The sequence below is a fragment of the Homo sapiens genome, chromosome 15 (assembly GCF_000001405.40).
Source record: "Homo sapiens chromosome 15, GRCh38.p14 Primary Assembly".
Lineage (NCBI taxonomy): Eukaryota > Metazoa > Chordata > Mammalia > Primates > Hominidae > Homo > Homo sapiens.
The window spans coordinates 41479388-41503598 of NC_000015.10; the positions used below are offsets into that span (position 1 = coordinate 41479388).

The window sequence follows — 24211 nt, forward strand, 5'->3', positions numbered from 1 at the left end:
TACTTGCCTAGGGCCTTGACTATGTCCTTCAGCAGCTGGCTTCCAGCCCTCAGCATCCCCTTTTCTGCTGTGTAAAATGAGGGTACTACTGTATACCCTGCCAGCTTCACAGGAGGAGAGATAACATACAAAGATCAGACATTGTAAAAGTGAAAGCTTGTTGAAAATGGCACATTTAAAAGCAGTTTTCTTGCTGGGCGCAGTGGCTCATGCCTGTAATCCCAGCACTTTGGGAGGCGGAGGTGGGCGGATCACCTGAGGTCAGGAGTTCGAGACCAGCCTGGCCAACATGGTAGAACCCCGTCTCTACTAAAAATAGAAAAAAAATAGCTGGGCATGGTGGCGGGTTCCGATAACTCCAGCTACTGAGGAGGCTGAGGCAGGAAAATCGCGTGAACCTGGGAGGGGGAGGTTGCAGTGAGCCAAGATTGCACCGTTGTACTCCAGCCTAGGTGACAAGAGTGAGACTCCCACCTCAAAAAAAAAAAAAAAAAGCAGTTTTCTGTCCAAGTTAAGTCTTTTCCTGTTGTAGTCTAACTGGTCTCAGGATTTCTGAAATCTTAGGTCAGGAAGTGACCCGTTGCTTAAGCCCACCCTTTCTACACTCATACCACAGACACAAGCCTGCCCTCTTCTCTGTGCTTGTAGCCTTCAGGAGAGAAAGCTCTTTGTCTGTGGCCTCCCTCTGAGAGAAGGAATCAGAAAGGGGCCTTAGTAGGAAAATCTAATGAACTCAAATAAGAGCTTCGTACCGTTAGTGGCTGCTGCTGCTTGAAATCCACTTGCATTTATGCTCTTACCATTAGCTTTCCTCTTCACATTCCAGGGTCAAGGCAAAGATAAAGATTTGAATTCTAAGTCAGCCAGTGACCTCTCAGAAGATCTGTTCAAAGTACACGATTTTGATGTGAAGATTGACTTACAAGTTCCCAGCTCAGGTATGTGAGGGTGGGGCGGGTGGTGAGGGCTGAGAACCAGATGGATCCATGGTTTTCTGGGGCAACAAGGAAGCCCACTTTTAGGGAAGAAAGGGGAATGCTGGCTCATCAGCATCCACAGGCCAGGCCAAGACAGGCTGTGGGTATGGTGAGAGGGAACAGGGCCACAGTCAGGAGGCTGCCTGCAGGAGTGTAGCACAGGACTAAGAGGACTTTGTGGGACCTCAGCTGCCAACTTGCTCTTCTTTCCCACAGAGTCAAAGGCTTTAGCCATCACCTCCAAGGCTCCGCCAGCCAAGGATGGGGCTCCAAGGAGATCTCTGAACTTGGAAGACTACAAAAAACGACGAGGGCTTATTTGAGCACACCCAGCCTGCTGCTTCTGACCCTGCATGCCCCATCGCAGCGTCCCACCTTTCCTCCTTTCCTTTGATTTAGCCTCTTTGGGCTGGAGCAGCTGTTGAACTGGGAAGAGACTCTAAACTGCCAGTCATCTGTAATATAAACCATTTGCTGTATAGACCTCCTTTGTCTGCACACCATCTCCCACCAGCCTCCCCTCCCCCAGGGCCCCACCCAGTGTGGGCCTGGGCTCTCTTGGGCTTTATCCATGTCTTTAGATTTGTGTTTGCCTTTTGTTTTTTTAACCGCGCAGTTCATTGGCCACTCTGCACGCATTCAGTATTACCATGGAGCTGGGAATCTTGCTGGAGCCCCTGGGGCAATAGCAGCAGCACCAGGCGGTCTCCTCTACAGACTGCCTTGGCCCACCCATTGAACATTCGGCACGTGACCTTGTGGGGGGAGCGGGGATTGGGCACCTGCGATCCTCTTTCCTCTCTTCATCTTTCTCTTCTGCCCTTCTTTTTGGAAGAAGGGGTTTCAAAACCAGTTTAGTTTCCAAAAAGTGTACATTTGTGGGGGGGGGGGGTCTAATTTGAGAGCGAGAGTGTGTATGTGTGTGTGTGTAAGTGTGTGGATTTTTTTATCATTTTTTTAAAATGCAGTACTCTTTGTATCAGTCTGTCATGGGTCTATAGCTGTTTCAGATTTTTTTCAGCTGTACTTGAGCATCTGAAACTGCAAGAAAGAAACTCATTAAATGTGATTCTTCTTACTAAACAGGCCTGACTGCTGTAGCTGTGTAACTTCCCCATTCCCACCTACTCTTCCCATCCTTTCCCAACTTTGGAGAAAACTCCCCAGTTTAGCCCCCTGACCTGCAGGCTGTGTCCTGGCAGGTGTGGGAGGGAAGCCCATGGCCAGGTACCAGGGAGGGCAGTGAATGTCTTGCTCTTCCCATGGGTACAGCCCACAGCTTCTTGGCTGAACGTAGAACTTCTTTTTCTCACCCAGTATACCAGCCTCTTCCTGGTGATTCTGTTTTGCTGCTTTGGCAAGAACTACATTTTGTTTTTAAGAGAAATTTCTGAATATGAATGTGGAGAGCAAACACAAAAAGATTTAGGTTACGCCGGGTGCAGTAGCTCACGCCTGTAATCCCAGCACTTTGGGAGGCCTAGGCGGGTGGATCACCTGAGGTCAGGAGTTCAAGACCAATCTGACTAACACGGTGAAACCCCATCTCTACTAAAACTACAAAACTTAGCCGGGCATGGTGGTGCGTGCCTGTAATCCCAGCTACTCGGGGGGCTGAGACAGGAGAATCCCTTGAACCTGGGAGGCGGAGGTTGTGGTGAGCCAAGATCGTGCCACTGCACTCCAGTCTGGGTGACAGAGTGAGACTCCGCCTCAAAAAGATTTAGGTTGCAAATGTTTCAAGCATGTGCAGTTTTGTGTGTGTGTATACATATATATGGTCAGCATATATATTGTGCAGCTAGGGCGAAGCCAGCAGAGGTGTGTGTATGTCTTTATGAAATGTTTGAAAAGAGATAAACTGACTGCTTGATAATCACTCTCAGGTGTAAAGCTCCAAGTGTAAATAAAAGTGGCATTTAACAAATCTTTCAGAACAAAGTACAGCTGACTATATATACCAAGAGCTAAGCTAAAGGAACAGCTGAGAGCTCCGATCTCCACGAGAGACTAATCTAAAAGCTCTGCTTTGTACTTCCTCACCCTGCTTTCGTACAAGGAAGGGGGACGATGGGAAATCATGGACTTGTAAGTTGTATTTAAACATAAAAATGAACTTGGTAACTTCTGGGTTTAGTAGAGCCTCAGTGTCGCTTTAACTTAGTTTACTTTTTTTTTATTTTTAAAGCAGCAATGGATGGTTTTAAAGGAGTATTATGATTGTAAAATTGCTAAATATGACTGTAACACAGCTTTGTGGTAGCTGTGACACAGTTCACTTGGGCAAAGGAGTGGTGATGGACTCGTTAAAATCATATATACTTGAATAGTCCATTGACCGAAACTCTTTATAGACTATTGTGTAAATGTGGAATCACAGACTGTTAACATTGCCTGGACTTCAGCAGAGTCCTGGAGCTGCTGGGACCTCTCCTATCATGATGAACTTGGACTTTTTTTTTTGATTTCTGGTTTTAAAAAACATAAAATTATAGAATCCAGATAATTCGCTGGAGTCATTCTGATCCACCATGTAGATCTGTATTTAGTATCATTTGGATTTGGAGAAGTGTTGATTACATTATGGCTGTGTAATAAAATTTTTATTAAAACTGCATCACACTGTAGCCACTTTGCCACCACCTCCCCACATGTAGCCGCTGAAACCCCCACGAGATGCCAATGCACACAGCAGGGAGAAAAGCCAACCAAAGAAGACCGAAGGGTATCTTTCCACCCGAGTAGCCTCTGTAGTGATTGGGACCAAGACTAAGGACTTGTCTCCAATCTCAGCTGAGGCAGTGCCTCTGAACCAAGATCTTGGTCAGGCATTAAGACACTGGCTTTGTCCTACCAACTAGGATTTCTTGGTGGTTCACACTATTTCTTGTGCTGGGGAATTCCCTCATTGGGCCCCTCCTCCCTCCACAGTGTGGTTTCAGTGTTGAAGGGTGCAGCACCCAAGGTTGTTTTTATGCATTTTTTCAGTTCCTTCCAAGAAGCAAAAAGGCCAGTGTCCATCTGCCTAGTTCATAATGTTTATAGGTCTGTTTGTCTGTCTTGCTTCTGGCAGGTGTAGGGAAAGTCTACTGCCTGCCACTCCCTTCAAAAAGAATGTTTTTGCTTTTGTGAAGTCCTGACTTGCCACTCAAACTGTACCAATATTGTAAATAAATGTTATGCCATTTTAACAAAGGGATCAGATTGAGTCTAAGGATTGCATCCTGAGTGGCAACTCCTAAAGCCATGTTTTGAAAGTCCAAGAGAACCTCTCTTGCTCCTTTTCCTTCTTCTCTTAGCCCTGTGCCCACAAAAGTGAAAGTGGCCATCGTCAACTCTTTAGCAGCCTGGTTCCCCGGAAGCCTCTCTGGTAGGGTAGTTGCCTAGACCCAAGGAAACCTCCAGTTGTCCTGGTTTACTTCCTGTCTTGGTAAGAGACCAATAAGTTTTAACAGAGCTAAGTAGACCCCTGATGTACTGCCTAACCCTAGTGAGAATCTGGGCCTTTCAACCTTTTTTTTTTTAGCTGGGGTCTCTGCTGTCTAGGCTGGAGTGCGGTGGTGTAATCACAGCTCACTGCAGCCTCAACCTCCCGGGCTCAAGTGATCCTCCCACCTCACCATTCCAAGTAGCTGGGACTACAGTCATGCACCATCACACCCAGCTAATTTTTAAATTTTCTGTTGAGACGGAATATTGCTATGTTGCCCAGGCTGGTCTTGAACTCCTGGCCTCGAGTGATCCTCCCGCCTCAGCCTCCCAAAATGCTGGGATTGCAGGCATGAGCCACTGTGCTCAGCTCCTTTCAACTTTAAATTGGCCTAGGCACAGTTTCTTTGCTCTTCTTTTTTCTGGCTATCATGAGTTTGAAGGGGGTGCCCAAGGGCCATGAGTGTGGCTATGGAGGAAACACTGATCTTCCTTCATCCACGCACCCCTCATGCTGGGGAGGTCTATAGGCCTCCCCATCCCCAGTGCCTGAGGCTGTGTCTCCAACCTTTCTGAACACATTTTAGCTAGGAAGCAAGAAGATCCTGGATCTTCCACACCCTTTAAGAAGGCAAGGGATGGCAATCACAGTGATAAGAGCCACGTCCAAGACCGCTTCTGGTGGTGGAGAGGTTGCTTACCTGCAAGTGCGTCCAATGAGGTTTTCTCCAACTCCCCAGCACTCCCACTACCTAACTGGTGGGAGCAGTGGGACCTAGAGAGCAGGGGTTCTGGGCAGATGACAACATAGCTTGCTTATCTTCCAGGATTTGGGTGCTGTGGGGCAGCCACTTGCTACCTATCTCTGAGAATCCAGAAAGAACACCTGGGGTGCAAGTGGAGAGAAGAAGGGTGCTGGGTTGGTCAACTTCATCTCCCTGGCCACGTTTTTCCAGAAGGGAGATCTTCCTTCAGTAACTATAATGTGGCTGTGATCCAGCAGCCTTAGGAAGCCATCAACTCCCAGCTCAAATTTTTTTCACGATTTCCCTGACTTAAGCGGAGACTGCTGAGCTCCCTTGGCAAGGAGGGTGTTAAGGAGCTGAAGGGAATGGCAGTGCTAAGACAGGGCCAAAAGGCATGCCTTCTCTAAGGTTCCACAGGCCAGCCCCAGGGAACATGGAGATACGGCTTTTAGGCACTGGAGCATAGATAGGCATGTCTAGGGCTTCCAGACCATGCTCAGGATACAAGGGAGGGCCAAGAGCCAAAAGGCACCCAGGCTCGGGAAAGGGTTCAGATCCCCGCTCTGCCACTTGCTATTACCTAGGGCTGAGCTACTTAACACCTTTGAGCCACAAGTTTTCCACCTTTCAAAAAACAACCTGTCCCCAGTAGGGGTCCAATAAATGCTGTTGTTAATGAGAGTGAAGCCGCTGGACCCTGGAGGAGAGGAACGGCCCTTGGAGTGGGCTGATGGAGGGCGGAAGCACTGGGCAGTGGGCAGGACCAGAAACTCCACTTGGGCTGGGGTTGGGAGGGGGGGAAGAAACCCTGACTCCAGATGGAGGCTCCCACTGGGAGACCCTGGGCTGGCCTAGGGATGCGTCCAGAGAAAGTGTGCTGCCTCTGGGCCAGGCCCTCGTTGCTGTCATTCCCCACAGGCCAACGCACACCACCTTTACTGACCAGGCTTCTGAAGGCGTTGAAGGCTTGCCACCTTACCACCCTCCAGCTGGCCCCAACTGAGGCCCGACCTACCCACAACCCCCAAGAGTAGTGAATACTCAAAATAGCACCAATAGTACCAAACCAGAAGGTAAGTGTAAAAGAAGCACAACAAAGCTCTGACCCTTCCCATGATGATTACCTTGATACTTCTTCAAAAGATAGATACTTTTGGGCCCTGCACCATGGCTCCTGCCTGTAATCCCAGCACTTTAAAAGGCCGAGGAGGGAGGATCGCTTGGGGCCAGGAGTTCGAGACCAACCTGGTCAACATAGCGAGACTCCATTTCTTTTTTTCTTTTTCTTTCTTTCTTTTTTTTTTTTTTTGAGGTGGAGCCTCGCTCTGTTGCCCAGGCTGGAGTGCAGTGGCGCAATCTCGGCTCACTGCAACTTCCACCTCTCAAGTCCATGCAATTCTACTGCCTCAGCTTCCCAAGTACCTGGGATTACAGGCATGTGCCACCATTCCTGGCCAATTTTCGTATTTTTAGTAGAGGTGAGGTTTTACCATGTTGGCCAGGCTGGTCTTGAACTCCTGACCTTGTGATCCTCCCGCCTCGGCCTCCCAAAGTGCTGGGATTACAGGCGTGAGCCACCACGCCCGGCCTCTATTTTTTTTTTTAATCGAATACTTTTGATTTCTTTTTCTCTTTTAGCCATGGATAGCCCTGCTTCGCTAAGCGCGTGCGATGCAGCACAGCCCTTCACCTGGCAAGCCCGGAAGCCTCAGGTTGACTCCATCAGTTTTGCCGGGAGAGCCCTTCGGCGCTCCCCGCTTGGTGTCTCCACCACCCCCCGCACCGGCCTGGGCGCCACCCTTGTCCGCGCCAACGGTCCCCGCATCCCTGGCCCCGTGCGCCTCCTGCGCCGTTAGCGCCCAGTCCACGCAGCAAGGGAGGAGGCGCGCGGCCGCTGCGTTCCAGGGCGCTCTGCCCTCGTTCCCCACTCCGGGCCCGCAGCCTCAGAGCCAGGGTCCCAGTGGCCCGGGGCCTGCATGCGTCTCCAGCCGTGGATCCCCCGGGGCGCGCGCCTTGGGAGTTGAGCTGGACCCCGGCTCGCACGCGGCCCACGCGGAGACGCATGGGCACTACGGTCCCAGACCCCGGGCCACTGCATGCTCTGTGGACTCGGTCCCCAGGCACACCCGAGGTGTGGAGGTCACGCCTGCAGGCGCAGAGCTCACAGATGGAATTAGGAGGCGCCTCCTAACCCCCGCCTCCCCCCATCACACGCCACCATGACTACACGATGCAGGGACCCCCGACGACGTCCCAGGCATTCCTACAGTGGTCGCCTCCACAAGCTGAGTCCCTGACCTCAGACCCTTCCTGTCCCCTTCACCTCCCCTCGCACTGGGTGAGGTTCTGAGGGTTCTGAGTTCTGGAGAAGAAGGAGGATCACAGGAACACAGGCTCCTGAGTGGGATCGGAAACCTTGTTTCTGAAGTGTAAGGAGAGAATATGTTCTTACTGCGCACACACAGGTGTGGTGACACATTTTGTTCGTTTTAGACAAGAGTGACTCAGACTGTGGAGGGTCAATGAACACTGCTAGATCCTGAGCCCTGCTGAGGTAACCTTGCACCCATCCCTGGATATTCCCACAACGTCTAGTCAATCCATTTATGAGGTCAGAGATTGCCGGGAAGGAAGGGAAACCTAGAGGCCAGGAAAAGAGGCTGGGGCTGGGAGCTGAGGGCTCGCCTGTCAGGTGAAGACCCATTCACGCCTCTTTCCAAGAGAAAGGAGACCCTCACCTCTCTCCCATTCTCACGTGTCCACTGGGCTCTGGCCAGCCCTCCAGCACCCTCTCTGGTAGGCCCTGACGGAGAAGGACATCGAACCCACCAGAGGTGAGGAATGTTTTGGATGCAGGAAGCAGCTGAGAAACCAAAATTCCCAGCGCGCACATTGACAACCTCTTGGAAAGGGAGGGAAGGCAGCCACTGAGCGTCCCAGGGCCTGTTTTCTTCTTGGGCCCTTTCTGGTTTCCTTCCTCGGTAAGACAATGAAAATGATACACTATCACTCCCGGAAACGGGCGGGGGCATCACAGGATCCACGCATTCCTGTGTCCTTTGCACCTAGCACAATAGCAGCTGCTCCATGGAAGTGTGTCTGCTCTGTGAATGCATGAGTGAATCACAGGTATTGTCACAGAATAGTGGGGTCTTAGGGTCATAAAGTCCCTTGGAAGGGCACCAAGTCCCACAGTGCATGTCTGGGAGTTGTTACTAGAATAAGACCTTGCACCACCGGGTCCAGTGGAACATGACAGCCCAACCCCCTCTCACCTCCCCACTCCTACCACACACACACACCCCACACACACTACACACACCACACTCACACACCACACCCACCACACACACACTACACACACTCACACACCACACACACCACACTCACACCCACACCTACCACACACCACACCCACCACACATGCCACACTCACACCACACCCACACCACATACCACACACCACACACACACCACATGCAACACACAACACACACATACCACACGTGCGCCACACATACATGCCATATACACCACAAACATAACCCCCCACACACACCACACATGCCACAATGACACATACCACACACACACTAGAGAGGCTCTGCTCCTGCTGGAGAAGACTTGAAGTCTCCTCAAAGGAACAGATGCTCCATTCAGGAGCACAGGTCAAAGGCTGTGCCTTCCCTTCTCTCCCCAAGGTGAAAGGCCCTGCTTGTCATCTTAGGAAGCAGAAACCAGCACTGTGCCTGGCAGAGGGTGATGAGTGGTGATTTTGCTCCTGCCACTGGTGCTGCCCTGGGGATGGGGTAGAGGTGGGCACAGCTATGAGGCAGGCTGGGGTGAGGACCCCAGAAACCCCTCACATCACACATCCCATTTTCCAGGCCCTTTTTTCTTCCCTAGTTTTGTACCTGAGGGTGATGTTTCTCTAGAAGAGATGCAGCCCTCAGTCATGATAAATCCTGAAATTTTTTTTTTTTTTTTTTTTTTTTGAGACGGGGTCTCTCAATCTGTTGCCCAGGCTGGAGGGCAATGGCTTCATCACGGCTGACTGCAGCCTCAACCTCCCTGGGCTCAGGTGATCCTCCCACCTCTTCCTCCTGAATACCTTGGACCACAGGCATGTGTCACCATGCTTGGCTAATTTTCTTATTTTTTGTAGAGATGGGTTTTCAGCATGTTGCTCAGGCTGGCCTCAAATTCCTAGGTTCAAGTGATCCTCTTGCCTGGGCCACCCAAAGTGCTAGGATTACAGGTACCAGTCACTGGGCCCACCCCTGAAGGTCTTTGATGGGGGTGAAGACTCAGGCACTTCAAGAAGCAGACCTCAGGCCAGGCGCAGTGGCTCATGCCTATAATCCCAGCATTTAGGGAGGCCAAGGTGGGCAGATCACCTGAGGTCAGGAGTTCAAGACCAGCCTGGACAACATGGAGAAATCTCATCTCTATTAAAAATATAAAAATCAGCTGGGCATGGTGGCAGGTGCCTGTAATCCCAGCTACTCAAAAGCTGACACAGGAAATTTCCTGAACCCAGGAAGCAGAGGTTGCAGTGAGCTGAGATCACACCAATGCACTACAGCCTTGGCAACAGAGCGAGACTCTGCCTCAAAAAAAAAAAAGCAGACCTGTAGGGAACAGGAGGATCAACCAACTGAGATACCACAAGAAGATAGGTTCTGGCTGGGCACAGTGGCTCACACCTATAATTCTAGCACTTTGGTAGGCCAAAGCAGGAGGATTGCTTGAGCCCAGGAATTCAAGACCAGCCGGGACAACAGAGTGAGATCCCTGTCTCTACAAAAAATTTAAAAATTGGCTGGGCATGGTGACACATGCCTCTGCCTGTGGTCCCGGCTACTCGAGAGGCTAAGGCAGGAGGATCACTTAGGCCCAGGAAGTTGAGACCGAAGTGAGCTGTGATTGTGACTCTGCACTCCAGCCTGGGTGACCGAGTGAGACCCTGTCTCAAAAATAAATAAATAAATAAAGGAAAAGAAAAAAGGTTATCTGCTCAGACATGTAAGCTGGCCTTGTGGCCAAGGCAGAGAGACTCTCATGGCCTATCTCAGAACAGCCACCTAATGACCATCAAAACCTTGACACACTGGCGGGGTGCAATGGCTCATGCCTGTAATCCCAGCATTTTGGGAAGCTGAAGGAAGAAGACTGTTTGAGGCTAGAGTTCAAGACTTGGCCAACATAGGGAGACTCCATCTCTACAAAAAGTTTTTAAAATTAGTTGAGCATGGTAGTGTGTGCCTGTGGTCCCACCTACTCAGGAGGCTGGGGCAGGAGGATCCCTTGAGCCCAGGAGGTGGAGGCTGCAGTGAGCCATGATGGCACACTCTAGCCTGGGTGACAGAGTGAGTGAGACTTTGTCTAAAAAAAAAAAAAAAAACCCAAAAACAAACAAAAAACAACCTTGACACATTCCTCTACACCCCAGTGTCCCCCTTTTCTGTTGTTTAATTTTTTAAAAACTGTCTCTGGCGGTCAGGCGCAGTGGCTCACACCTGTAATCCGAGCACCTTGGGAGGCTGAGGCAGGCAGATCACCTGAGGTCAGGAGTTCGAGACCAGCCTGGCCCATTAATGTAGTGAAGCCCTGTCTCTACTAAAAATACAAAAAATTAGCCAGGCGTGGTGGCACACACCTGTAATCCCAGCTACATGGGAGGCTGAGGCAGGAAAATCGCTTGTGCCAGCAGGTGGAGGTTGCAGTGAGCTGAGGTGGTGCCACTGCACTTCATCCTGGGTGACAGAGCAAGACTCTCAAAAAAAAAAAAAAAAATTTTATCTGGCCTGCTTAATGCTTAAGTGTTTGAACATCCCCACCATTTTTTTTTTTTGTGGCACTCAAGAGGCCATCCCTTCCACCTCCATACTAGTCAGTCTGATTTTTTCCACATCCCTTCTACTCAAGCATCAAAGACTGAGAAAAATGAGTCATAAAAGAACAGATGTTCTAGGGTTTCAACGTTTATTCCTGGCATGACTAAGAGGACGGAAGAGCCTGCTGACCTCATCCTACAGCTATACAGGGACTCCCAGGCCTTGCCCCAAGACGTACCCTTATGTTTTCTGACTGTAGTAGGTGGGGGCAGACTCTACCTTCAGAAGGAACTACAAGATGTTTCTTTGTTTTGAGATGGAGTCTGGCACTGTCGCCTAGGCTCACTGCAACCTCTGCCTCCTGGGTTCAAGTGATTCTCCTGCCTCGGCTACCCAAGTATCTGGCATTACAGGTGCCCTCCACCATGCCCAGCTAATCTTTGTATTTTAGTAGAGACGGGATTTCACCACGTTGGCCAGGCTGGTCTCGAACTCCTGTCCTCAGGTGATCCACCCACCTCAGCCTCCCAAAGTGCTGGGATTACAGGTGTGAGCCATTGCACCCGGCCAGGAAATACAAGATGTTAATGAAAGAATTTGAGAACATGAGCGAGGTGGCTCATGGCCATAATCCCAGCGCTTTGGGAGGCCTGGGTGGGCGGATCACCTGAGGTCAGGAGTTTGAGACCAGCCTGGCCAACATGGTGAAACCCCGTCTCTACTAAAAATACAAAAACTAGCCAGGCCTGGTGGCGAGCACCTGTAATCTCAGCTACTCAGGAGGCTGAGGCTAGAGAAGCAGGCTGAGGCTCTTGAAGCCAGGAAGCAGAGGTTGCAGTGAGCCGAGATCACGCCATTGCACTCGAGCCTGGGCGACAAGCACGCAGGAAGTCAGGGGACCTAGCCAGGATACACTGCCTTTTCCATCAACTGGCTGTGTGTCCTTAACCTCCCTGGTGGAGCCACTTAACCTCTTTGGTACTTCCGTAATGTGAATGAGGAGGATAGATGGATATAAGGCCCCTTACTGCTCTAAGAATCTATGGGATTGGATTTCAGTTCAGCATCCATTTCCAGGTTTGCGCTCATCTTTCCAATGAGAGACACCTGGGCAGGTAGAGCAAAGAGCAATTCTCTGGCTGCTGGTATAGTAGACCTAAGGCTTGAGCAAGTGCCTGATACAAGAAGAAAAGGAATTGCCCCTTTTTCTTGGCAGCCAGGACAGAGACCCAGTGCCCAACCTGCTTATACCTCCAACCCTGCCCATCCATCGCCTGACAGACAGGAGTGCAGGACAAGTTCTCGCCCCTCATTGCCCTCCCTACCTTTCCAGTTCTGGCAGTTCCTTGCAGGCTCTCCCCACCTTGGGTTTCCTCCCAGCCCCGTCTCTGAGGGCAGCACCTTCCCACATCCTGACGCAGGTCAGTGTAGCTGTGAAGGAGGCAGAGGAGTGAGTGTCTGAGACACGAGTGATCCAGGTCCTTCAAGCTGCAGAGTACATCCCTCACACACATACTCAAGATTCCTCCAGATGGTTGTCCTAGAGAAGGTGGCGATGTGATTTCCCAGGTTCTCCGTGAAGTAGTCAAGTATTCAAACTCCTCTATGCCCTTCTTCCTCTTACCCCTTCATTCCCTCTATTTCTCCTGCCTCTCTCATTGCCATTCTTTCTTACATTATTTTGCTTCCTTCCTCAGTTCTCCAGGATCTTCACCTATTTGTTTATTTTGAGATAGCGTATGACTTGTCACCCAGACTGCAGTGCAGTGGAATGTCATGGCTCTCTGCAGCCTCGACCTCCTGGGCTCAAATAATCCTCTCACCTCAGCCTCCTAAGTAGCTGGGACCACAGGTGCATGCCACCACACTCAGCTTTTTTTTTTTTTTTTTTTTTTTTTTTTGAGACAAGTTATCACTCTGTTGCCCAGGCTAGAGTGTGGAGTGTGGTGGTGGAGTGTGGTGGTGATCTCAGCTCACTGCAGCCTCGACCTCCCAGGCTCAAGTGATCCTTCCACTTCAGCCTCTCCCCGAGTAGCTGAGACTACAAGTGCACACCACCACACCTGCCTAATATTCTGTATTTTTAGTAGAGACAGGGTTTTGCCATGTTGCCCAGGCTGGTCTCGAACTCCTGGGATCAAGCAATCTGCCCGCCTTGCCCTCCCAAAGTGCTGGGGTTACAAGCCTGAGCCACTATGCTTTGCCGAAGATTCCCGTCTTCCCACTGAACCTTCTTCTTTCCTTCTCCTGGGCCATTCCTGAGCCCTGGCTGAGGGGAGAGAAGGGAAGGAAAGCCCCTCCTGCGGCCATCTCAGCATCCAAGGCAATCCTTCTGGGGCTGCTCTGTCTCCAGGGCCCCAGCCATCCCCAGACACTGAGTGCCTGAGGGGGGACCCTCACTCCTGTGGCACTATGGTAAGATAGGAAACAGTGGCTTCTCCTCAAAGCAGCCTCGCCGGTCGGTCAGCTGACTACCAACATGGGAAGTGGCCGAAGATCCACATGGAATGACACTGATAAGCACTTTGCAGTGTCTGAAACTCTTAAACATCAGTGCTGTCTTCCTAGTTTTACAGACACAACTCTGTGGGTTGGATGAGGTTTTTCTAAATGTACAAATGCAGAAATATACGGAGGGAGTAAAGGGACTGCCTACAAATCACATCTAGAGTGTGGTGTACCTGATTTCAAGTCTTTTATTTTATTCTCGCAGCAACGGGAGAATCCGCAGTCGAGGGAGGTGAAATGACTTGCTGAACGCCACACGGCGGACTCCAAGCCCCGAGCTCCTATAACAGAGGAGGAGGAAGGCGGGCTCAGCTCCTGCCACCCAGCAGCGGGGGAGATGCAGCCCGGGACTAGGCTGGGCCATGGGGACAGATCCAGGCCCCGCCCCCTGACCTTGTTCTCTGCCCGCCGGGAAGTGGGGAACTTGCGGGGAGCAGCCTCAGCTAGTCCCTGGGGCAGAGTCTCCACTTGGGTGCACGCCCTGGGGTGGGGCTTCTTCGGGAAGCCGGGGGCCTTCAACTCTGCTCAGGAGCTCGGGCCGGAGAAAGGCCCCGAGACTTGAAGCCCTTGCCCGGGAGGGATGAACACGCAAAGGAACCCGAGGAACGGGGTAGGGGACCAAGAGTAGGACCAGCTTCTCCTGCGCGGGGACAGGGCCTGTGGAGCGGCCTGGAGGAATCTCTCCCAGCCGCGAAGCCCGGGAAGGCTGCGAGGCCCCAGCGCGGAGCGGCCCCTCCCACCTCCCCGAGGGCAGGCGGAGCGAAGCCTCGGGGCCCGGGCCCAGGTTTTGTGCCTACGGAGGCTGGACTTCCCCGCCACCCCGAGGAGTCACCGAGAGCCTTCTCTCCCTCGCAGGGGCCCTGGGAGGCCCGCGCTTTCTCTGAAAGTGGAAGGAGTGGGCGGGGGGCGCGGCCGAGGCGGGGCGCGGGCGTGCAGCGGCGCAGGCTCCGCCCCGGGGCCGTCTCCAGCCGGGGGCGCCGAGCCGCTCCAGTCCCCGGCGCGCCGCGGGCTGGTGGGCTCAGCGGCGGCGCCGGCACTGGGAAATGACCCTGCCCGGGGGCCCAACGGGCATGGCGCGGCCGGGGGGCGCGAGGCCCTGCAGCCCGGGGCTGGAGCGGGCCCCGCGCCGGAGTGTCGGGGAGCTGCGCCTGCTCTTCGAGGCGCGCTGTGCGGCGGTCGCTGCGGCCGCCGCCGCGGGGGAGCCCCGGGCCCGCGGGGCCAAGCGGCGTGGGGGACAGGTCCCCAACGGGCTTCCGCGGGCTCCCCCGGCCCCGGTGATCCCTCAGCTGACCGTGACAGCCGAGGAGCCCGACGTGCCCCCGACCAGCCCTGGGCCGCCGGAGCGGGAGAGGGACTGCCTCCCGGCAGCGGGCTCTTCGCACCTGCAGCAGCCGCGCCGCCTTTCCACCTCGTCGGTCTCCTCCACTGGCTCCTCGTCGCTGCTCGAGGACTCGGAGGACGACCTGCTGAGCGACAGTGAGAGCCGGAGCCGCGGCAACGTGCAGCTGGAAGCGGGCGAGGACGTGGGTCAGGTACGGGCCGCGGGGGCGGGGCCAGCGCCGGGCGCGGGGGCTGCACGGGGGACCTGGCTGGGTGCTCCCGGAGGACCCGCTCCTGTCCATGCTCCCTCCAGCGGAAGGTCCTGTTCTCGCGGTTTAGGAGGAATCTGGGGGTCAGAGGGAGGCGCCTGGCCGACCTCTCGCCTGGGCAACTTTCACCTCGGCTCCGCCGGCGGGTCGTGGCGCTGGCCCTGGGGCGTCTAAGAAGCGGGGCGAGGAGCAGGCGACCCGCCGCGGGGACTGGGCGAAGCGGGGGTAGCGGACCTTGTTGGCTGTGGGTTAGGACAGGAGGGATCGGAGGGGCTGAGCCTTGCCGGGTGAACCCTCGGAAGGAGAGAGGCGAAGGAGAGTTTCCCTTACCCCCCGCCCCCTCTCCGGTGCCGCGGCCGCACCCCCGCCGTTGCCACGGTTTCCCTCTCCTGAGTGGGAGTGGAGCGGCGCTCCAGGCTCTGCTCGGGAGCCGCTGCCGTCTGCTCCCAGCGCCCGCACGAGGCGTGGACGCAGGGGAGGGAGGGGCGTGGGCCTGGGAGCTCTGGCTGGGAGCGGAACGCAGCCCACCCAGTGCGCGCCCTGCCTCCCATCTTCCCGGCTCGCCGCTCCTGAGCGCGGCAGAGAGGGGCGGTAAACTGAGGCTGCAAGGGGGCAGGATCACTCTGCTAGTCTCTGCCTCTGATAGCCTGGGTGTTCTGGGACCAGGTCTGACCCTCGGAAAACACAGCCCTGGGCACTGTTAAGTCATTCCTGACGCCCGCCACTTAGGGATGTGCGGCTCCCGGGACACCCTCCTTGTTCCCCTCGTTTTAACCAAGGCCAAATACCTTGAATAACTGTCCGTGGTCAGCGCGAAGGACTTTCTTTAGATCCACGTTTCGCAAGTGTCCCTGAGGCCGAGGAAGAGGCGAGGGGCGCCCCCGGCCTCGGGCGTCTGGGGCCTGCCCATAAGTCCGGGTCGGCGCGGCGGGGCGGGGAGAGCTGTGGCCGCGCGCCTGCTCCGCCGCACAATCGGCTGGGACAAGGCAGGGAAGCTGTGGCGACCTGCAGGGGTTCACAAGCCCGGAGGCCGATGGGGTTTGTCAGTGACACCAGAGGGGAAAAGCCTCACAGAGCAGGAACACCCCCCGCCGCCAGGTGCTGGGTGCGCCGGCTCGGTCACTAGCCTGCCGCTTCCCCTTCTTCCCCGGTGGTCAGAGCAGCCCCGGACCCAGGATCGTTTCTGGGGTAACCCTTGCCTAGGTCGGGGGGCGGATGCCGGGGCTTCCCAGGATGTGGAGTGTGGGGCAGTGAGAGGCCCCCCGCCCCGCCTCTTCGGAAAAGCCTGAGCAGCAGCTCCCGGGGCGCGGAAGCTCTGACACCTGAGAGCCGGTGCAGGCGAAAGGGCGCGAAGCGCGGGCGCGTCCCGCTTCCCTCTTCCGCCCGCAGGGACTCGGCGAAGTGCCTGGGAGAGGGAGTGCGCTAGGAGGAGGTCCTGCGGCCCAAGCCTGGGTGTAGAGACCGCCCCGGCTAAGGTCAAGCCTCGGGGACCTGGGCGACCCCGCCGCCCTCCGAGCCGTCGGGAGCCGGTGCAAATCGCCGCTGAGGGCCCTTCCAGCTCCAAGGCTGCGGCTTCCAGGCCTTCCCCACCCCCAGGCCCGCCGGGGCCTCCCCGAAGTCAAACAGCCACAGCGGCGGCAGATAAGCCAGGGGCTGTTGACAGAGGCTGCCTGAGTCCGTGTGGAAGGGCCCAGGGCGGACTTTGCCTCGCCGCAGGTCCCAGAGCCGCACAGCGCGCCGGCCCAGGCCAATTTAGGGCTTCCCCAGGCAGGAAGCAAGGCTGGTCCGGCTGACCGTGAAGGATGCACGTGGGCCGGACTCTAGGACTCCCGGCTTACCAGCCCCTTACGCGCGGCCCAGGCAGGCCGGAGCCCAGGAAGTTTCTGCCTGCCTGCCTGCCTACCTCTCTGCCTGGGGCATACGTAGTCCCCTTCACCTCCTAGGAGCCCTCTCCAGCCTGCCCAGAGCAGGGAAATTGAAACTGGGCAGCCTCACTCCGGCAGAGGAAAAAGTCACAGGCAGGCTTTTCCTAACCAGCCAGGGGAGAAGTTGGAGGCCCACCCGCAAGGTCAGCTGCATGACTCTATGGCCTTGCCTGCCTCCTCAAACAATTGTGGGGTATTGCTGGAGGAAAAGAGAGGGTGTTTGGCTCCTGTTCATCTGGTTTTCTTCTTTCTGTGCTCCAGGATAGGTAAGGAGACCTGGATGCCATCCCCTCCTGGACTCAGAATTCCCACACATCGCTTTCCACTAATTATAGAGCAGAATTTAGGTTAACAGACTTCCTTTTTAAACAGCTAATGCCCATGGGAAGGTGAAGTCGTGGGTCACTTATACCTTAGTGCAAATCGTTTTATAAATTTAAACTGATTGCTCTTCCCACCACCACGACCACAGGGAGTGCTAGTTTGATAGGGCAATTGGAACATGGGGAGGGTATTGGGCTGGTAGAGAGCTTCAACCAGAGCCTGGATGACTGGAGGCAGGGAGCAAGGGTGAGTGCCAAAGACAGAGCACTCACCCACCTGCTGGTCTGCTCCAGCAGAAGATACACTGTGTATCTGGCATGAGCAGGTGTCTTCAAGGCTTCCGAATGGAGCTTAGACAAAGGAGGGTCTGAGGCTAGTATCCAGCCAAGCCCTGCCCAGAGAGAGGTACTCCCTGTTCAGCCCTAGGAGTGAGGAATTATCAGAGGGCCCTCCTGTGACTTCATTAAAGTCTCTCACACAGTCAGCAATCCTAGCCTTTGCCTCAAGATACCCAGGTAGCCTCTGGCTGTGTGTTAGTCTCCCAGAGAGGGCACCTTCATGGAGGGAGGCCCGAGCCAGAGGATGTTCAAGCTTCTCCCGGGTTCAAGCGATTCTCCTGCCTCAGCCTCCCGAGTAGCTGGGATTACAGGCACCTACCACCACACCGGCTAAGTTTTGTATTTTTAATAGAGATGGGGTTTCACCATGTTGGCCAGGCTGCTCTCGAACTCCTGACCTCAAGTGATGCATCTGCCTTGGCCTCCCAAAGTGCTGAGATTACAGGTGTCAGCCACCGCGCCTGGGCTTACATTCATTTTTAAAAGCGTGATGTTCTCTGGGGGAGGTATCTCCCTAAGGTGGAAGGTGGCAGTGATTTGAGTTCCATGACACTTGCACAACTCCTGCCATGCTTGGCCATACCCATTACTGGCAGGGGGGCTAAATCCTGTCATAGCAACCTCAGGTGGTAGGACGGAGGACTCAGATGAGATAATAGGTATGAAAATCTTTTGTAGGCTGGGAGCAGTGGCTCACACTTGTAATCCCAGCACTTTGGGAGTCCAAGGCGGGAGGATCACTTGAACCCCGGAGTTCGAGGCCAGCCTGGGCAACATAGCAAAATCCTGTCTCTACTAAAAATACAAAAAAAATGTCACGGTGGCTCACACTTGCAATCCCAGCACTTTAGGAGGCCATGGCAGGTAGATCACTTGAGGCCAGGAGTTTGAGACCAGCCTGGCCAACATGATGAAACCCCGTCTCTACTAAAAATATAAAAATTAGCCAGGCGTTGGTGGTGCACGCCTATAATCCCAGCTACTCAGGAGACTGAGGCAGGAGAATCGCTCAAACCTGGAAGACAGAGGTAGCAGTGAGCCGAGATCGCACCACTCAAATAAATATGTACATACATACATACAAAAATACAAAAAATCAACCAGGCATGGTGACTCACATCTGTAGTCCCAGCTACTCTGGAGGCTGAGGTGGGAGGATCACCTGAACCCTGGAAGTCCAGGATGCAGTTAGCTGTGATCGCACCACTGGACTCCAGCCTGGACAATGGGAGTGAGACCTTGTCTCAAAAAAAAAAAAAAAAAAAAAGTATTTTGTAACCTGCTAGCTAGGACTGGCCTTAGTTGCTGCTGCTCTTGATTCTTATGAGATGCAGAAAACCAAGGTCAAGAGAGTAGGTGATGACACCATTTTACCCCTGCTTGGGAGCAGGTCCATCAATCAAATGGTAGTAGCCCAGGTTTTTAGACACACATCAAATCCTCTTCTGCCAGGCCCACCTGCCAGCCCTCCTCACTGTTTCTGCACAGTTCTAAAAGGATGGTTCAGTTCCCTCACCCTGCCTAACCCAAGGCAAGTTTCCTCTTCACTAAGTCCATTCTGGTCCCACTATCCCCTAAATTCTTCTAGCAGGTCCCTACAGCCATTAAACTCATTCTTTTGGATAAAGGCAAAGGTGGCCATCCAGTAGAGAAGGGCCCCCAGGCAGGTCTCAGTGTTCCCCAGAAGTCAAAACTCAGACTGCCTTATTGCTGCACATCACTTCACCACGCACAAAGCACTTTCTCAGGCCACATCCCATTTAACCCCCAAAGGGAGGCAGGATGGTAGCATCCTGCTGGGGATACTTTGGAACCTGCTGGGGCAGTTGGAACTTGGGGAGGGAGGATGGGCTGATAGCTTCAGCCAGAGATTGGGAGGCTGGAGGCAGGGCATGAGGGGATGTAACTCCCCTTGATTTCCTTCTGTAAAATGGGAATGATACCACTTCACGCACTTGCTATGCATGTGCATTCATTATGGCTCTCAAACTGAGTGTGGGAGAAGGGGGTACAGGATGGTGCTGCTGAATATACATGGCACATACATCATCTTCCTGGAATTTTACTTGAGGGTTTGGAGGTGGTGAGTTTTATAATAAAACTTGGATTTATTATGCAGCAGAATGCAAACCTGGTGTGTATTTAAAGATTTTAAAAGGAGTTTTGAAAGTGATGTCATGCTTCTAGTGGGCTGCTTCTGGCTACACCCCCAGATCCCTGGGGATTGGGCACGTGATCACACCCTAGTGTGCCATGTAAGGGCTTCAGTAGGAAAGTGGGAGCAATGCTGCCTGATGGAAGATGAGAAAGTGCCTGACATGCAATAGGCAGGTAGCATTTGATGGTTCGTGTTACGGCAGCAGCTATGTCCTCCCAGGGGAAACAGGCCCACACAGATGGCAGTACTTGGTTGGGTTCACTCAGCTGGAAGGTGACACAGCCATGACTGGAACCAACTACTGACTTCCCACCCAGTGCTCTACCATAACTTCCATCTCCTCCCCATGGGAAAGGGCTTTATGGTCAGCAGCCCTCTTCTACTTAGGCCACCTCCTCAGTTCTCTCTCTCCCTCTTAGAACTCCCTCTTGTCAGGGAGGTGTATTCCTCTGGGGGTACAACATGTGTAACTGTGCTAAAAGGCAAGTGCCTCTGTGGGGAGGCGGCAGACACAGTTGACATGAGCCAACCTGTGTACTTCAGAGAGGACACAGGGCTGCCGAGTTGCGGGTGGTAAGAGGAGAGGTCCAGAGGATGGGATGCTCTCAAGATTAGCTGGAGGCTAGAAGAGATAAGGGGCACACCAAAAAAACAAAAACAAAAAACAAAAAACAAAAAACAACCCTCGTCTCCTTCCCAGGTTTGTCTAAGTTGACAGGCCCTCAGGTTTGCACCTTATTTTCTTTCTTTTTCTTTTTTTTGAGACGGAGTCTCACTCTGCTGCCAGGCTAGAGTGCAGTGGCTCGATCACAGCTCACTGCAACCTCCACCTCCCAGATTCAAGCGATTCTCCTGCCTCAGCCTCCCAAGTAGCTGGGACCACAGGCGCATGCCACCATGTCCGGCTAATTTTTGTATTTTTAGTAGAGACGGGGTTTCACCATGTTGGCTAGGATGGTCTTGATCTCTTGACCTTGTGATCCGCCCACCTCAGTCTCCCAAAGTGCTGGGATTACAGGCATGAGCCACCTCGCCCAGCCCGGCATCTTATTTTCATGGCTTAAGATTTCTAGGTCCAGATAAAAACCAAGGGTGCCCTGGGCCTTGCCAGCTAATGAGTGCATAGAATCCAGGGATAGCAAGAGAGGCTTGGAGAGCCTTTTCTTTCTCCAGCCCTGTTCTTTCTCCAGGCCCTGCCAGGCTGGCCTTCCTGCCCTGGGCCTGTGTACAGGTTTGTTTCTGTGTATGTCTGTCTCCCTAAATGAGAGGAACCAAGGTCCTGAGTGAAGGAATCAGTGATTGAGATTTGTTCAGCTTCTGCCTCATACCATGGAATGGGATGGGGGAGCTGGGCGCCTATCATGCTTAAGCCTTATGTACTACTCACAGCAACCCAGTAAGGATAGTTATTTCCTCATTTTATAGATCTTTTTCTTACAGATGCACAGAGGCTTGTTTCTTGGGCCCTGGAATCTTTTGAGGCATTGGTAGTAATAAAAATTTGGGGGGCCGGGCCTGGTGGCTCACACCTGTAATCCCAGCAGTTTGGGAGGCTGAGGTGGGTGGAACACCTGAGATCAGGAGTTGGAGACCAGCCTGACCAATATGGTGAAACCCTGTCTCTACTAAAAATACAAAAAATTAGCCGGGCATAGTGGTGTGCACCTGTAGTCTCAGCTACTCGGGAGGCTGAAACAAGAGAACCGCCTGAACCCGGGAGGTAGAGGTTGCAGTGAGGCCAGATCGCGCCACTGCACTCCAGCCTGGGTGACAGAGCAAGACTCCATCTGAAAAAAAAAAAAAAAAAAAAAAAAAATGGCCCTACTCTAGACCAACTTAGAACATCCCTGCGGTAGGCCTGATAATCTGCAATTTTTAACAAGGGTGACCATCAGGTAATTCCGATGTTCACAACAGTTCAAAAACCTCGACAGAGCATTTTCGTAACCTGCCCACGCGTTCTTCAGTGGCAGAGCTGGAGCGCAAACCGGGGGCTTCAGATGCTAAGTCCAGGCTCTTGACAGCTCACTGGAGACGCTGGAATCACCTTCACTGCGCCTGTATCAGCACCCGCCACACAGGCGCACAAATAAACCTTCCCAGAGTGAATGAATGAATTAATGACTCATCCAGCCCCAGCTGCTTCCGGTGGGTCGGGGGCGTGGCGAGACCCTGTTTCAGTGGAGGGAGGGCTTATGCATTGCCGAGACGCCGATTATCAGACCTTGACCCTGTCGCTTTCAGAAAAACCACTGGCAGAAGATCCGGACCATGGTCAATCTGCCGGTCATAAGCCCTTTCAAGAAGCGCTACGCCTGGGTGCAGCTGGCAGGGCACACTGGTGAGCAGTGGGGCGGGTGGGCGGGTGCCCGCGACGGGAAGGGGCTGGGCGGCGCTGACGGATGCCGGTCCTCAGGGAGTTTTAAGGCGGCGGGCACCAGCGGGCTGATCCTGAAGCGCTGCTCGGAGCCGGAGCGCTACTGCCTGGCGCGGCTGATGGCTGACGCGCTGCGCGGCTGCGTGCCTGCCTTCCACGGCGTGGTGGAGCGCGACGGCGAAAGCTACCTGCAGCTGCAGGACCTGCTCGATGGCTTCGACGGACCTTGTGTGCTCGACTGCAAAATGGGCGTCAGGTATGCGTGCCCTGCCAGGTCGGTTGGGGGGATCAAGTAGGGGTCCGGGGCCGGGACAGCTGCTTGAGGGGGACCCGGGGCGAGTGCTCGAAGGGGTCTCCGTGTGCGCCCCCTCATGCCCTGGCCGCTGCCTGCGCCCCCACAGGACTTACCTAGAGGAGGAGCTGACCAAGGCCCGTGAGCGGCCCAAGCTGCGGAAGGACATGTACAAGAAAATGCTGGCGGTGGATCCTGAAGCTCCCACGGAGGAGGAGCACGCGCAGCGCGCCGTCACCAAGCCGCGCTACATGCAGTGGCGGGAAGGCATCAGCTCCAGCACCACCCTCGGCTTCCGCATCGAGGGCATCAAGGTGAGGCAGGCGCGCTTCGCTGGCACCGCCGCAGCCCCACTGCGCGCTGTCTTTCCCGATCCCCCGCTCCCGCCCCGCCTGCCCCTCCGCCCTCTCCCACCGCCTCGCCGTCCCCTGCAACTGGGAGGTACCGCTGCTCTACGCTGTCCTCTTCCCCACTGGCGGGCCCGGGGCCCCTGACACTCCTGTCCCACATCCAGAAAGCGGACGGCTCCTGCAGCACCGACTTCAAGACTACGCGAAGCCGAGAGCAGGTGCTTCGCGTCTTTGAAGAGTTTGTGCAAGGAGATGAGGAAGTGCTGGTGAGAGCGGGATCCCAAACCCTGAGGTGTTGGGGAGCCTGAAGCCGAGGACTGCCCCTGTCATCTGGCCCAGTGCCCTCGGCTGTGTCCCCACCATGGCCCTCACCGCGCTGGCTCGCAACTGCTCTACGCTCCTTCCCTTCTGGGCCACGCTGGGCGGGGCCCTGGGTCCTCCTCCTGGCGGCATTTGCCAAGCACAGCGTGGGTCCCGGCTCCTCATCGTTAGCAGGGGCTCATTTGGCGTTTAGTTAATTTGCCCTCCTCTCCCACCCCACCCTCTGCAGAGGCGGTATCTGAACCGCCTGCAGCAGATCCGGGACACCCTGGAGGTATCCGAGTTCTTCAGGAGGCACGAGGTAAGCGGCGGCTGCCCGGGTGCCCGGGCCGCGAGGGCTAGGGCGGGAACCCGGCAAGGGCGTCTCTGGGCAGGGCCGCGGCCTGACGGTGCGGGGCTCGCAGGTGATCGGCAGCTCGCTCCTCTTTGTGCACGATCACTGCCATCGCGCCGGCGTGTGGCTCATCGACTTCGGCAAGACCACGCCCCTCCCCGATGGCCAGATCCTGGACCACCGGCGGCCCTGGGAGGAGGGCAACCGCGAGGACGGCTATTTGCTGGGGCTGGACAATCTCATTGGCATCCTGGCCAGCCTGGCTGAGAGATGAGGCTGGACTCCTGTCCCCGCGGGCCGCTCACCTGACATGTGGACCTGCAGCTTTGTCCCCACTGTGCATGCCGGCTTGAGACTGGAGCCCCGCGGTGCAGGGCAGTTCACCGGGTCCTGCAGGACCAGGTGCCAGCCACTAAGGGGGGGCACCGCCGATGCCAGGGGTTTTGCCCACCCGGGCCCCAGCGTTCCCAGAGCCAAATGACACTAACTTATAGAAGGGGAGGGGGCAAAGGGCTTCTTCCTCAGGCCAGCTCTTCTGAGGAGGCTCTGCCCTCTCCAGAGGTGCCAGACCGCGGATTTTATTTAGCAAGCCCAGACCTTCCGGTCTAACGTCTCACACCACGACGGACTCCCCTTCCTAATAAAACTCAAAGACAAGATGCAGCTTCCTGTGCCTCAGGCCTCAGCCCCTCCCTCCTCCGGCCCC

The 24211-nt window shown here is 54.6% G+C and overlaps 2 protein-coding genes and 1 long non-coding RNA gene across 4 annotated transcripts in view, besides 11 other annotated features; 2 read left to right on the top strand and 1 right to left on the bottom strand.

Annotated features, from left to right (window-relative positions):
- RTF1 (RTF1 homolog, Paf1/RNA polymerase II complex component) overlaps window positions 1–4176 on the top strand; it is a 66469-nt gene extending 62293 nt beyond the window's left edge. The window contains exons 17-18 of the mRNA NM_015138.5: window positions 827–938; window positions 1194–4176. Coding sequence (NP_055953.3) covers window positions 827–938; window positions 1194–1300 — 219 coding nt within the window. The 3' untranslated portion in view covers window positions 1301–4176. The remainder of the gene's footprint in view (window positions 1–826; window positions 939–1193) is intronic.
- LOC105370790 (uncharacterized) lies at window positions 40–6982 on the bottom strand. The gene is made up of 3 exons (XR_932169.3): window positions 6843–6982; window positions 5108–5292; window positions 40–104 (listed from the first exon to the last, which is right to left on the bottom strand). It is a non-coding gene; the product is annotated as an uncharacterized LOC105370790 (long non-coding RNA).
- Window positions 4287–4336: an enhancer, noted in NCBI's record as "active region_9282". NCBI's record gives its function as "activates an Ori minimal core promoter by ATAC-STARR-seq in GM12878 lymphoblastoid cells {active_cell/tissue: GM12878}" and the evidence as "EXISTENCE:reporter gene assay evidence [ECO:0000049][PMID:35858748]".
- Window positions 10916–11035: an enhancer, noted in NCBI's record as "active region_9283". NCBI's record gives its function as "activates an Ori minimal core promoter by ATAC-STARR-seq in GM12878 lymphoblastoid cells {active_cell/tissue: GM12878}" and the evidence as "EXISTENCE:reporter gene assay evidence [ECO:0000049][PMID:35858748]".
- Window positions 10916–11298: a biological region, named in NCBI's record as "Sharpr-MPRA regulatory region 6351".
- Window positions 11004–11298: an enhancer, noted in NCBI's record as "tiled region #6351; HepG2 Activating DNase unmatched - State 10:DNaseD, and K562 Activating DNase unmatched - State 9:DNaseU". NCBI's record gives its function as "activates a minimal TATA promoter and a strong SV40 promoter by Sharpr-MPRA in HepG2 and K562 cells {active_cell/tissue: HepG2 | K562}" and the evidence as "EXISTENCE:reporter gene assay evidence [ECO:0000049][PMID:27701403]".
- Window positions 13389–13889: an enhancer, noted in NCBI's record as "H3K4me1 hESC enhancer chr15:41784974-41785474 (GRCh37/hg19 assembly coordinates)". NCBI's record gives its function as "activates a minimal SCP1, AML or CMV promoter by ChIP-STARR-seq in primed H9 embryonic stem cells {active_cell/tissue: H9 hESC(primed)}" and the evidence as "EXISTENCE:reporter gene assay evidence [ECO:0000049][PMID:30033119]".
- Window positions 13890–14390: an enhancer, noted in NCBI's record as "H3K4me1 hESC enhancer chr15:41785475-41785975 (GRCh37/hg19 assembly coordinates)". NCBI's record gives its function as "activates a minimal SCP1, AML or CMV promoter by ChIP-STARR-seq in primed H9 embryonic stem cells {active_cell/tissue: H9 hESC(primed)}" and the evidence as "EXISTENCE:reporter gene assay evidence [ECO:0000049][PMID:30033119]".
- Window positions 13890–14746: a biological region, named in NCBI's record as "H3K4me1 hESC enhancer GRCh37_chr15:41785475-41785975".
- Window positions 14127–14746: a silencer, noted in NCBI's record as "silent region_6358". NCBI's record gives its function as "represses an Ori minimal core promoter by ATAC-STARR-seq in GM12878 lymphoblastoid cells {active_cell/tissue: GM12878}" and the evidence as "EXISTENCE:reporter gene assay evidence [ECO:0000049][PMID:35858748]".
- On the top strand, window positions 14487–24164 carry ITPKA (inositol-trisphosphate 3-kinase A). 2 transcript variants are annotated; one of them, NM_002220.3, is made up of 7 exons: window positions 14487–15029; window positions 22076–22172; window positions 22248–22464; window positions 22610–22814; window positions 23015–23116; window positions 23401–23472; window positions 23576–24164. In NM_002220.3, exons 1-7 carry the CDS (start codon window positions 14541–14543, stop codon window positions 23777–23779), a joined length of 1386 nt encoding a protein of 461 aa, NP_002211.1. In that variant the 5' UTR covers window positions 14487–14540; the 3' UTR covers window positions 23780–24164. The 2 variants fall into 2 exon arrangements, with proteins under 2 accessions (NP_002211.1, XP_047288415.1); XM_047432459.1 differs by lacking the exon at window positions 14487–15029 and adding an exon at window positions 18778–21979.
- Window positions 14767–14946: a silencer, noted in NCBI's record as "silent region_6359". NCBI's record gives its function as "represses an Ori minimal core promoter by ATAC-STARR-seq in GM12878 lymphoblastoid cells {active_cell/tissue: GM12878}" and the evidence as "EXISTENCE:reporter gene assay evidence [ECO:0000049][PMID:35858748]".
- Window positions 15057–15106: a silencer, noted in NCBI's record as "silent region_6360". NCBI's record gives its function as "represses an Ori minimal core promoter by ATAC-STARR-seq in GM12878 lymphoblastoid cells {active_cell/tissue: GM12878}" and the evidence as "EXISTENCE:reporter gene assay evidence [ECO:0000049][PMID:35858748]".
- Window positions 23472–23601: a silencer, noted in NCBI's record as "silent region_6361". NCBI's record gives its function as "represses an Ori minimal core promoter by ATAC-STARR-seq in GM12878 lymphoblastoid cells {active_cell/tissue: GM12878}" and the evidence as "EXISTENCE:reporter gene assay evidence [ECO:0000049][PMID:35858748]".
- Window positions 24165–24211: the final 47 nt, after the last annotated feature.

Excerpts from the sequence above, each read along its gene's own strand:
- ITPKA (NM_002220.3), top strand. The coding sequence starts at position 14,541 with ATGACCCTGCCCGGGGGCCCAACGGGCATGGCGCGGCCGGGGGGCGCG. Across the intron at positions 22,173-22,247 it reads GCAGCTGGCAGGGCACACTG|GGAGTTTTAAGGCGGCGGGC; the intron begins GTGAGCAGTGGG and ends GCCGGTCCTCAG. Across the intron at positions 22,815-23,014 it reads TCCGCATCGAGGGCATCAAG|AAAGCGGACGGCTCCTGCAG; the intron begins GTGAGGCAGGCG and ends TCCCACATCCAG.